We start from the raw sequence: 13390 nt of genomic DNA, 5'->3' as shown, positions 1-13390 counted from the left end.
AAGACTCACAGGCCAGAGTGAGGGAAACTGGATGTTGCAACAAAAAGAAGCTCAAGAGGAAAGTCACTTTGTAGGTGACACCCAGCCCACCTACCTGGTGACAACTGTGTTTTGGTCAATCCTTGCTTTGAGGTCTTCGTTCTGCTGTTGGAGAACCTGGATCTTTTCTTCTAGGATAATGTTCTTTTCTGCCTACAAAGGAAACAGTGTTTAAGAGGTTCTAGCAAGGCCATAAAATCGGGAGTAAACCGGTGCCCTCAGCTCTGGGCATTGGAGGATTATCAAGAACAGCATTTTGCAAACATCAGTTCGCAATGCTTTAGTGGGTTTTAAAATCAGGTCAGAGGAATGTGACCAGCATTTCTTCTTTAAATGAAACAGAATAGAAAATGCCCATGTGCACTGTAGGTAGCAAATTTCAGATATTTTTATTTTATATATATTATGTATCAATGTGTGTGTGTGTGTGTGTGTGTGTGTGTGTGTGTGTGTGTGTTTCTGATGTAAAATGTATTTCTTATAGTGAATGTCCTCAGGCCCTTGCCATTGTCAGAGATAAGCCATGAATACCACTAGGACCTCATTTGACTACTGGGTCTCATGGCTCTTCCCAAAGGGTCAACCACACTGCAGCAGCATCCTTGGCCAGCCTTGCGTGCACGACATTACATTCTGAATCAATGGAGGGAGGAAATCTAAATAATGTAAGCACGCTTTTTCCTTTTGAGGCTACAGGCAGCCAGGAATGCAAAGCGCAAGAGCAGCTGGGTACATTATCCCCAAATCCCATCATCCCATGGCTGTTACTCCCCGGCAATTGATGCCTTTCCCTCTGTTAGCGTGTCCTCGAGGGCCTGAGACCTAGCTGAAGTACAGTTTGATTCTAAGACCAATTTAGAAATAAATTATTTCCTGAAAAGAATGTGACAAGTTCACTGTTAATGTAGTTAATCTTTAAAGAAAACTGTCCCTTTTCCATGAACAGGACTTAGGAATCCTAGCCACAGGACTGGCCTCTGTCCCCGCTCTTTAGCAAGACACCTCACCCAGCCCTCACTTTTGCTCCCAGGAGATGAAGTGATCGAGTAGATTCTTTTTTGCCTGGAAAGGTTTCTGGGATGAGAAGCCATATGGGCAGGCAGAAAGCCTGGAGGATGGCTAAAATCAGCCAAGTAAACCCAGAGGTTTGCTGGTGACCCAATGCAAATGGCCAAGCCAGGAGGGGGAAGATGGGTGGCTGCTCTCAGAACAGCTGGTCCCCACACTGGCAAGGCTGCAAGGCAGGGTTCAGCTGAGGCAGGCGCTGTCCTGTAGCTCCCCGCCAGCCCTAGGCCTGGCCTGAGCTGGGAAGTCCTGGGCTGCTGGAGGGTGCAGAGTGGTCAGCATCGCCCAGAATCTTGGCGACAATCCAGCATCATCTGGTCTGCCCCCATTAACTGCACCCGTGCAGCAAGAGATGTCTGCAAAAAGGGATGCTTCCAGAGAGAGAGGTGACATGGCCACCAAATGCAATGGGTGGCCCTAGATCAGCCCCTGGCTTGGTTATACAGATGCAAGGGACATTTCACAAATGGGGAATTTCGATGAGATGATCAGTTCCTGCCTGAGATGGCAAGCTAAGGATATAAAACACTTATACAGTATAATATGTTGGCCATGTGGGTGGGTGGGTGTGTGCCTGTGCACATGTGCACGCAGATACTACCTTACAGAGAAAAAGTTCTGGAAAGTATAAGCACTGGTAGGAATATGATGTTATAATCTGCTTATTTTTTGTTTATCTTATTTCATAATTTTCCACAGTACACATATTTACTTTTGTTAGTATCAAAAGTTTATTTTTAAAGTAACAATAATAAAGGGAAAAAATAAGAATCTGAGATCCTGGGGCCAATTTCCAGATCAAGATGGGCTGCCCTTGGAAGGAGGCTTCTCCTCCACTCCCTTTGCACACTTTTCTGGGACTCTAGCCCTGGCTGGGGGCTTGTGCCCCAGGGTAGAGGGTGAAATCCTGGGTGTTCTGTGCCCCCTAGGGAGTGCCCTTTGCTAGCTCTGCAGGAGCCAGGCTGGTGGGCTGAGGTGGGCGAGTGTGGGTCAGAGCTAGGACTCTGTTCTGGACTGAATGTTTGTGTCCCCCCAAATTCCTGTGCTGAAACCTAACCCCCAAAGTGATGGTATTAGGAGGCAGAGAACTGGGGAGGGGATTAGGTCCTGAGGGTGAGCCCCTGTGAATGGGATTAATAGCCTTATAAAAAGGGCCCCAGGGAGATCCCTGGCCCCTTCTGCCTTGTGAGGACTGGAAGCACTGGGCCAGGGCTCCTTAGCTCCATCTCCGCATCTGTAAAGCGGCTGGTGGCGGCAGCTGCTCCACAGGCAGCCGTAGGAGTTAGGCGCAGGCTCGGGGAAAGTGCTCCGTGCAGTGTCTGGGCATCAGGGATGCTGCATTGTGCTGGGTCCCCACACGTCCCCAAGAGAGGGCGAGAAGACAGCACAACTGTGGGAAAACCAGGGCGAAGCAGAAAGAGACTGCCCATCAGGAAGGCTCCAGAGTTGGACAAGGTGAGGCCACCTCCAAGATTCCTTATGAGAGCTCCTGGATTCCTGGGAAAGGCCAGCTGTGGGATTTTCTGCTTGGGTGTAAGCAATGGGCAGGTAAGGGACACACCTGGCTGAACACCATCAACGATGACATCAGTGATGACAGCAGGAATGTCATGGAGGTTACTCTCCCGAGCAAACAGACCAACTCACCAGCTTTTCCAGCTCAAGAATCTTCTTTTCTTGCTCGTGTATTTGCTGATTCTTCATTTCTAATACCTGCTTCAGACTCTTCATGTCTTCTTCCAAGTGCTGATAAGGAGCCAATGCAATCTACAGAGGCAGAGAGCCATGAGCTGTTGACCAGGATTCCCGGCAAAACCCAGTATTAACCAATGTCACGAATCCAGCTAAATCTATCCTCCTGGGACAAGCGCCCTGATGGCAACTGCAACACCAAAGAGAGAGGATGCTCACAGCCTTCCCTGATAAAGGGGCCCTGCTAGTTTCCTGCTGAGAACCCTCCTAAAATCCAGTTCTGTGGGGGAACAGGTGAGACATGGCCATCAACCACTGGCAAGTCTGACTCCAGAATTGCTGGGGGCTGCCAGCCTGTGCCCAGCAGGGAATTCATGGGGTAGAAAGAGTAAACCCAACACTGGCTTTTAACATTCACCCGGCCGACTTGATTCACCAGGTAGCTGGGACTCTTATAGGTCCCACCTATGCCCATAAAAAGCTCAGGCATAGGAAATGAGCAAAGTGGTTTAAGAAGCAGAAAAGCCATTTTAGAAAAAGTCATGTTGGAGTAGTGCTGCAGGATATAACAAATTAAAATATAGTGTGTCCTGTTAAATCCAAATTCAGATAAATGACATTTTAAAAAATTCAGTATAAGTATTGCATGGGACATACTTATACTCAAAAATTTATTTATCTGTAATTCAAGTTTAACTGGGTGTCCTGTATTTTATTTGGCAACCCCATGTTAGAGGGAAGGAGTTTTGCCAGCTTTTCTGGAAAAAATTCCCCTCAACTGAACGCATGCTGCAGCCAAGGCTGCCCCATGTCAGCTTAAAAAGTTGCGGGAGAATGGGCTGGAAGGGGTGGTCAGGCCAGCGGAGGGGGGTTTCCAGACCATGCTTATCATAGGAGCCCCACGACTCCAGCTGGGGAATGCTGTGGAATTTGGCAAAAATAACACGTAGCTGGAGAAACCCACAGCTGCTGTCTGTCTCAGGGGAGAGCTGCTGACAGGAATTGTTTAAAAATCCAGGGGAGGTCGTGACCAGCTGTCACTTCAGCAGCGGATTCACAGAGAGGCCTTGTCTTGGGACGAGACTGCTGAGGGAGTCCCTCGGCCTTGCTGGGGCGGGGTTCCTGCGGGGCTGGAAGCCTGGAATCCAGAAACGACCTCCAGCTGCTCCTCTGTGTTCTTCCTCAAGGCCTCTTCGAAGCGGCGGGCTCTGTCCCGCAGAGACTGGCTCTGGAAGGTCAGCGTGTCCACCTGGTCCTGCAAGTAATGATACAAGGAGTCCAGCTGGGGCCACTACAGACAGCAGCCACCACAGCCTGGGCAGCTGTGATCAGCAGGCCACCACTGTGCCCTGGGCATCCTCAGAGTGTTTCCCTTGGGGCTGAAGAAAGAGGTGCCAAAGGAGAGCCCCCACAACCACACAACAGAGGATGGTTTCCCCCAACGCCTGCCCTCGGCTCCCTCCTTCTTAGTGCTTTGTCAGGAAGACACCACAAAAACACTGAACTGGAGGCATTTCACAACATCTGACCCCACAGAGGCAGACAGTCCTCGGAGAGAATCCTCAGAGGTGCCTCTTGTCCAGGAGGCACCTAGCCCCTGGCTTTGGGAAGGACCGCGATGAATGTATTTCAAAGATGTATTCTCATTTAGGAAGCTCAATTCAGATCCCTTCAAACCCTCCTTGACTTCTTTCTCTCCCTTGGGACCCCTCCCACATCAACAAACCTTCTAATCACCAAGTCCATAATCAACTCCTGCCATCCTGCCTCCTGAATGTCCCTAGAACCCACAGAGTCCCCTGAGCTCAGGCCACTCTGCCGGCTCCTTCCTGGCACGGTTCCTCTTTTTCTCTGAATTACCACTCTTTTGCCCTCACACTGCAGTCAGGCACTCTTTCTAATGTGCAAACCGGAACCTGTCCTTCCCCTATCTCCTCCTCCACTGCCCTCAAGGTGCAGTGCACACTCCCTAACACAGCATCCTCCCAGCCCCGCTGCCTCCCTTTCCTCTCGCAGCCAGCTCTCCTGCTGGCAGTGCCTACCTCCAGCCAGCTCCCTCTCACTCCCGCTTCACTCTGGCTCCCACACAGTCTTCCTGGCCTCAGGACTGGGTTGCATGTCCTTAATAGGAGCTGCCACGTAAGCTGAGTCCACACAGTCTCCTCCTCCCTGCTCAGACCTGCCCCGTGGCCAGACTGGCGCTCCCAGCCCTCAACCTTCCCATGCCTGTCAGCTAGGCAGGCAGCTGGCTGCTCTCCACCTGCAGGCTGAAGGAATACAGGCATGTCTATGGAGACACTGCACCCCTTCCCCAGGTCCCAGGGCAGATGCACCTGCACTGACCCTGCCCCACTCAGCTCTGGCCATGACTCTCAGGACCACAGGCTGGGAAAGGACCACTGATGCCCAAGGAGACCTTCACCCTTCATGTCTCACTCATGCAGACCAGTCCAAAGCTCTTTGCACAGGACCATTTCTGTAATATCAAAACACAGAAACTAGGGTCTCCCATGAACTCTTCTAAAAAATATATAGATATAGATATAGATATATAGATACACACACACACACACACACATATAAAGAGAGAGAGAGAGAAAAAGAGAGACAAAGACAGAGACAGAGACAGGGTCTCACTCTGTCGCCCAGGCTAGAGTGCAGTGGTATGATCTTGGCTCACTGCAACCTCCACCTCCCAGACTCAAGTGATCCTCCCATCTCAGCCTTCCAAGTAGCTGGGACTACAGGCGTGCACCACCACACCCAGCTAATGTTTGTATTTTTAGTAGAGATGGGGTTTTGCCATGTTGCCCAGGCTGGTCTCGAACTCCTGACCTCAAGTGATCCACCCACCTCGGCCTCCCAGAGTGTCGGGATTACAGGCATGAGCCACCATTCCTAGCCTCCCATGAACTTTTCTGGCAAGAGAAATGGTATCATCCCACCAAATAATAGGAAGTGATATTGTGAATGCTAATAAGTGCACACAGTGACACTAACATGCGAAGTGCTGGGCTTGACTGCTTGCTTTCTTATGGTGGAGGACCCTCTCTGCAAACCTCCCTGAGTAGGTTTCTTTTCCTCTTTTTTGTTCTCTTTTCCAGTTACTTCCTTTTTTTTTTTTTTTTTTTTTTTTTGACAAAGACTCACTCTGTCACCCAGGTTGGAGTGCAGTGGCATGATCTCAGCTCACTGCAACCTAAGCCTGCCGGGTTCAAGTGATTCTCGTGCCTCAGCCTCCCAAGTAGCTGGGATTACAGGCCCCCACCACCACATCTGACTTAAGTTTTTTTTTTTTTTTTTTTTTTTTTGAGACGGAGTTTTGCTCTTGTCCAGGTTGGAGTGCAGTGGCGCGATCACGGCTCACTGCTACCTCTGCCTCCGGGGTTCAAGCGATTCTCCTGCCTCAGCCTCCCGAGTAGCTGGGATTACAGGCATGCACCACCACGTCCAGCTAATTTTGTATTTTTGGTAGAGACAGGGTTTTACCATGTTGTCCAGGCTGGTCTCAAACTCTGACCTTAGGTGATCTGCCCGCCTCAGCCTCCCAAAGTGCTGGGAATACAAACGTGAGCCAATGTGCCTGACCCACATCCGACTAATTTTTTTGTATTTTTAGTAGAGACAGGTTTCACCATGTTGGCCAGGCTGGTCTTGAAGTCCTGACCTCAGGTGATCTGCCCCCCTCGACCTCCCAAAGTGCTGGGATTACAGGCATAAGCCACCGTGCCCAGCCTACTTCCATTTTATTTTTAAGAAATAGAAGTTCCCACAGTGCCATGAAATGCAAATGCCGGTGCATTAGTGCAGTACGCCGCAGGTGGGGGCTTGCGCGCCTATGAGCTGAAATGTTCATCACAGCCTGGGCAGTGTAGCAGGTGACCTAGCACAGGTCACCTGCTACACTGACTATAAAAATGACTCTCCCTCCATGGCTCCTACACCAAACCTCCTCAGTGCTGCCAGAGAAAGCATTTCTTTTAAGCCTCTTTCCCTCCATTAAAAAAACAAAACAACAGCAAACTCGTCAGGCAATTACAACATAGGATGGATCTAAAATACCAAACTGATGTTTCTGCCTTATTCACCATCACTCAAAAGAGATCTACAGGGACAGAGTGTGCTATTGCAACTAACTTGGGCTGGCTTCTTTATGTCATGCTAAGAGGCACAAAGACCTGGCTGGAGCCAACCAACAGCATGACAATAATCACAATAAATGTAACAATGCTTGTTATTATTACAATAGTTACAACAGCTGCCACTTATTAGCAGTGATCTAAGCCAACCCAGGGCTATCCACTTTTCACACGTTATTTCCCTTAATCTGTTCACACCTTGAGAAAGATACTGTCATCATCCTTATTTTAAAGAGTAAACTAAGGTTTACAGAGGCTACATAACTCTCCAAGATGTGAAAGCTAGTAAGAGCTAGTGCAGCGGGGATTTAAACAAAAACTCAAATCTCTAACCACCAAACCTGTTTCTCCAGGTGCCTGTAGACCAAGGAGGTTGGCTTGAGCAATTCCACCCTCCTTGCACCAAATAACCTCCAGCCCAAACGGATTCTGCTGGACAGTCACAACAAACATATGCCCAGTTCAGGACCATCTGGTGTCAGTGGCAGGGCGCAGACTCCCAGACAAGACAAAACTCTCATTTCTTTGGGTTTGGGATTGGATGGGATTTTTGTGATATCGCTGTATGGCCGTCACTTTCCTGATTTGTGTTCCTTTAAGGATAGCGCAACTATTGGTGCAGGATGTGTATACGAGGAAGGCAGTCTGGGGTTCATTGGCCAACGGCAAACCACACAAGCACTGTGCAGGCATAACACATTTTAGTTTTTGAAGAGTACACTGGAGAGTGTGACCCTGGGTCTCTCCACAATCCTGGACTCTTGATGGGGCAGGCTCAGTGCCACGTATGTTGCCAGAGGAAAGTGAGCCATCGAAGAAGCAGAATTCCTGCCTACGTGTTACAGCTATGGGATTCACCTCCCACAATTTCCAGATGAGAGTGTGCCTAACATTTAAAAAATAATTTTGCTGTGATTGGAATTGCTACACTTGGAAATGGAAGCAGGGCCCCTAGCGTCCCCCTGGCTTCCCAGGCAGCTCTTCCATGGGGCTGGGGGTTGTCAATGTCTTTTCACAGAGGCAGCTACCTCGGTCTCTGTAAGGCAGGAAGGAGACACAGGTGATCTGGGACACCTGCATTCTCTCCTTAGAGGCCTGCAGGACACCAGGCAGCTCCTCTGGCATCTGAGACCAGCGTTTCCTAAAGGTGGCAGTGAGAGGAAGAGAAGGTGCTTTTCGTCTCAGCCACCTCCAGGTAACTGCAGCCCCTTTTATAAGTCTCAGAGCACGTTCTGTGAATTCTGACCTGCACAACCCTCCTTGCACCGTTACCCCTGCCTAGAACACTCTCTTCCCCCAGTCCTCCTCTTGCTTTGAACATAGCTCAGTTACTCCTTGGATACTCCAGACCACACCAAGTGCAGAGTAATCTCTCTGAATGTCTGTAGCATTCACCAACTGTATTATTCATTTGGTGCAAGTATGTGTTACCTGTTGTCTGATACTATTTGCATCACAGCTTTCTGAGCAGACAGCACATTTCTTAAGAGTAGCGAGTATGACTTATTTACCTTATATTCTATTGTTTAGTACAGGATTTAGTACACAGTAGGTGCTGAATGAATGTTTGTGGGTGGGAATAATGATGCTGCCATTATCTCGATACCAGGTAAGAAAATTAAAGAAATACTAACCTGCAATGACAGCCGCAGTTTTTCAAAATTTTCTTCCAATTCTTTCTTTTCAAGCTCATGAGTGGACATCAATTCTGGAAAGAAGACATTAAATTGTCAAGTTGGTCTTTCTTTTGAAAAGGATAAAACAAGGCTCTTTTGGCAGACTTAAGACCTGTGACTTCAGGTAAATAAATGACTCCCGTATAGCAGATTCAAGCCTAAGGGGACTCCTCCACTGGTTTGAAATTGTATGTCATGACCAGGTTAGTATTCAGGAGAGAGAAAGAAAGAAGGGACTGGGGAAAGGGAGGGAAAAAGAAGATGGGGGCAGATAGAACGCATATGAACACACACAGACCACACACTACACACACACGCAAACATCACACACCCGTCACATACACACCACATGCCACACATACACATACACACCTACCACACATCACATACACACCACATGCCACACACATCTACCACACACAATCACATACACACATGCCACACACATACACACCTACCACACATCACATACACACCACACACACATACACACCTACCACACACATCACATACACACCACACACACATACACACCTACCACACACATCACATACACACACACACCACACACATACACACCTACCACGCATTCACATACACATGGCACACATACACACCTACCACACACATCACATACACACACACTACACACACACCTACCACACACATTCACATACACACCATACACCACACACACCTACCACACACATCACATACACACACACTACATGCCACACACACACCTACCACACACACATCACATACACACACTACACGCCACGCACACATACACACCCACCACACACACATCACATACATGGCACATGCCACACACACACACCTACCACACACACACACCTACCCCACACACATCACATACGCTACATACAACAGCACATACATACATCACACACATACCACACGCACACACACACCCCACACGCCCCACACACACCTACCACACACATCACACGAATACACCACACTCCACACACACCACACACAATCGCATACACACTACATGCCACACACACATACACACCTACTAATCACATACACACACTATATGCCACACACACACACCTGTCACACACACCCCCACACACTCCCCCACATACATATACCACACACACACCCCCACACATACCACACACATCATGCCTCCCACACCCCCACATACACACACTACACACATCCCACATACATACCATACAAACCTACACCACACACCCACTACACACACACCACACACATTCCTCCACACCCCCACATATATATACTACACACACCACACACATATATACCATATACACACCTACCACACACGCATAACACACCCACACACACTAATCACACCCTCATAACCTGCCACGCCTGCACACCTCCAAATCCATACACATTTACACAAGGACACACTTACATGCCCTCCCCCATCCTTACAGCACCCACACCTTTGTACATAACATACCCACACCCCCACCATACACCACATACACACACCACACACCACACACTCCCCATAAACACACCACACATATACACACACATGCACACCCACACACTGCACACACTATAAACACCCGCACACATACCACACACACACTCCCACATCCCCATGCCTCCCACCACACACACACACACAAACCCGCATCCCCCCATACCTCCCACACCACACACACACACACACACACATCCACACTTCTACATTCAGCTATACCACCATCCTGCCCAAGTCATATCCTTTGTTCACGTTATTCATTGATTCTCTAAACTGTTCTCATGGCAAAATAACTAGGTAATTAACATTAAATCCTATTTTCTTCCCCTCCCAGGATCACTCTTCCTTCCCACTGCGAAGCAGCCATCTGGGGCTGAGGAAAGCAGCGGAGCTGCGAGCAGCCATCCTGCCAGCCGGGCTTACCAGCCAGGCTCAGTGCTGTGTCTACACGGACACCTTGGTAGCCTCTTGGCTGCACTCGGAGAACTATACGTCCCTGGGATTTGCTTCAGCAAAGATTCGGTGTTAAGACAACTCAGATGCAAGGAAGAACTACTTGGACTGCTTCCTCTTGGAGGGTTTGAAACAATTCTGTTCCGTGAAAAGTGTCATTCCAGCAATAATTTGCAAGTTAGGCAGAAAGAGATGTCATGTAAGAGTTATTAAGCAAATGGATTCTGTTTTCCTCCTGATGGGAAGAGTCTTATTAGCTGGGTGAAGCCCATCTCATTCTGGCTACACAAGCAATTTGTTTTCATGTTATAATGAGAGGGAAGAGGGTCTCATTAATCGGCCTGCATCATATGCTCAGAATGGTAGCGTACTGGAGGCCGACAATTACCATTCTGGGTGGCGTGTGCTGCAATTAGGAAAAACTTTGTGGTTTTCATTGACCCAAATCTTTTAACTAATGGTGGTAAGGGTCACTAAGAAATCCAGTTGTTATAGCTGACGTTTACATTTGGAAAAGAAATGTTTGTGTTGATTTCATTGATAGAGAACCATATGGCCTTTCCGGTCTGCCTGCCTCTGACTAAATGATTAGTGTTACAGTCATCGAGAGCAGCATCCTGACCATAATAATAAATTTTTTAGCTACCATTACCTACACGCACATGGCCTTGACATCATTTATAATTCAAAGACCTGGAATGTGGTGTCTGAGTGAGACTTCGTTAGTCAGAAAAATCCACCAGATTTATGTGAAAATCCAGAAAGAAAAGGCAACACCATGGCTCACTGCACCATTTCCACTCACGTTCTTTCTTGTGAGACCAGCTTCCTCTAGTGACAGATTTCAGGGCGTTTTCAAAGGATCCCAATGCCCCAAGGGAAAAGAAGAGGCAGTATCCATTCTGAAGATGACATAAACCATTGCTAACTGTGTCTTCATCATGTATTTCTTTATTTCAAGCTCATGACACTGTCTCACGCTTAATACGGTGTTTAACACAATGGTCCTCAAGTTTTCCTGCGTATTAGAATCACCTAGGGAGTTTTAAAGCCTTCTGATGCCTGGGCTGCACCCCAGAGCAATTAAATTGGAATATCAGAGGTAAGAGCCACACATCAGTATATTTTTAAAAACTTCCAGGTGGTTCCAATGTGTAGCCGAGGGTAGAGACCAGTACTCTCAGTGTGAAACACACTACCAGGACCGAGGCAATCCATTTAACTAGTCCCCAGGAAAATACCATCCCTTGCCTCCAGCTTGGTCACTTACTAATAGTTCCCAGAGGTAGTGGGGGTGGTGCTTGAGGGTGACAATAACACAGACCTTGGTTATGGCACACTGGGTCTTGTTCACAGAGAACATTTTAACAATAATAAAAACTCTGATGCTAATTCTCAAATTGTAAAAGTTTATCAATGTATTGTTAACTGTCATTGCTTTTAATACACACTTTTTTTTTGAGGCGGAGTTTCGCTCTTGTTGCTGGAGTGCAATGGCGCAATCTTGACTCACTGCAACCTCTGCCTCCCAGGGTTCAGGCGATTCTCCTGCCTCAACCTCCCGTGTAGCCAGCCCACCGCGCCTGGCTAATTTTTGTATTTTTGGTAGAGACGGGGTTTTGCCATGTTTGCCAGGCTGGTCTTGAACTCCTGACCTCAGGTGATCCACCTGCCTCAGCCTCCCAAAGTGCTGGGATTACGGGTGTGAGCCACGGCTCCCGGCCTTTAATACACACTTTAACAACCAGCTGACTGGGAGGGAAAAGTAAAGCGAGAGAAAGTTGAAAAATAAACTGTACATATTAATGTAAATGCATGTGAAAGTGTAAAATGCTGCCTCTTTCACAAAGGAAAATCTCACTGGAACTTAGTAATGATGCTGTTATGACCCACGTAAAACCCAAAGATAATTCAAAGTTACAAAAATGTAGAAAGAAAGATCTGGAGACTTAACGCACACCCACGGTGAATGTGGTCTATGAGTGTAAGCTCTGGATACCCCGATCCAACCAGATGCTGCAGTGGCCCGGAGAACATCATAAATATGAAGAAAGTGTATCCATGCCGGGGCTTCCATTTGTTTTTATAAGGCAATAAACATCATAAAGCCTAGCCGGGTGTGGTAGTGGGCACCTGTAATCCCAGCTACTCGGGCTGGAGGCTCCAGCTGGGGCTGGAGAATCGCTTGAACCCAGGAGGCAGAAGTTTCAGTGAGCTGAGATCGCACCACTGCACTCCAGCCTGGGCAACAAAGTGAGACTCTGTCTCAAAAAAAAAAAAAAAAAAAAAGAGGAAAAAAAAAAGTGCACGATTTCCATGCCTGCTTTAGACAGTGGCCCTCAAGTGTGGCTACACATTAGAATCCCCTAAGGAGTCTTAAGAAATCTTGATGTTTACACTGCACTATGGACCAAGGACATCAGAATCCCTGGGGTGGGACTGAGGCTGGCATTGGTCTTTTGTTACCGCTCCCCAGGGGACGGGGAATTCCAGTATTCATCAAGGTTGAGGATAACTGCATTGGAGGAAAGAAGCAGCTAACTACCTGGATCCTTAATTCCTATCTCTTCTTTTCCCAGGAGCCAACAGGAAAAAATGCACCAGGAGGGAAAGACAGGAAAGGAGGGACAAGAGAGGAAGGGGGGCTCCACACATCTGCAGCAGGAAAGGCTCGGATTGCACCACCCACCCCTGCCTGCTGCACACGAGGCTGGGAGCTACCTTGGACTTTGTGGTCGTGGTCATCCTGCAGGATTGTGATGGCAACTGTGTGGTTATTTTCCATCTCTAGGAGAGCAGCATCATGGCTGGCGGTGAGATCTTCCACC

General features: G+C 48.1%; 1 protein-coding gene across 12 annotated transcripts in view, besides 1 other annotated feature; it reads right to left on the bottom strand.

The window, feature by feature from the left end:
- The window catches only part of MTUS2 (microtubule associated scaffold protein 2), a 685985-nt gene that overhangs the window by 4659 nt on the left and 667936 nt on the right, over window positions 1-13390 (bottom strand). For all 12 annotated transcript variants that reach the window (XM_047430227.1, NM_001384605.1, XM_011535019.4 and 9 more), the window contains 5 exons: window positions 13284-13389; window positions 8570-8643; window positions 3953-4051; window positions 2752-2871; window positions 95-192 (listed from right to left, as the gene is read on the bottom strand). In XM_047430227.1, coding sequence (XP_047286183.1) covers window positions 95-192; window positions 2752-2871; window positions 3953-4051; window positions 8570-8643; window positions 13284-13389 — 497 coding nt within the window. The remainder of the gene's footprint in view (window positions 1-94; window positions 193-2751; window positions 2872-3952; window positions 4052-8569; window positions 8644-13283; window position 13390) is intronic.
- Window positions 4687-4766: an enhancer, noted in NCBI's record as "active region_7519". NCBI's record gives its function as "activates an Ori minimal core promoter by ATAC-STARR-seq in GM12878 lymphoblastoid cells {active_cell/tissue: GM12878}" and the evidence as "EXISTENCE:reporter gene assay evidence [ECO:0000049][PMID:35858748]".

This window comes from Homo sapiens, chromosome 13, assembly GCF_000001405.40.
Source record: "Homo sapiens chromosome 13, GRCh38.p14 Primary Assembly".
NCBI lineage: Eukaryota > Metazoa > Chordata > Mammalia > Primates > Hominidae > Homo > Homo sapiens.
Note: the sequence above shows the minus strand (reverse complement) of the source record. Positions and strands in the feature narration are given on the sequence as shown.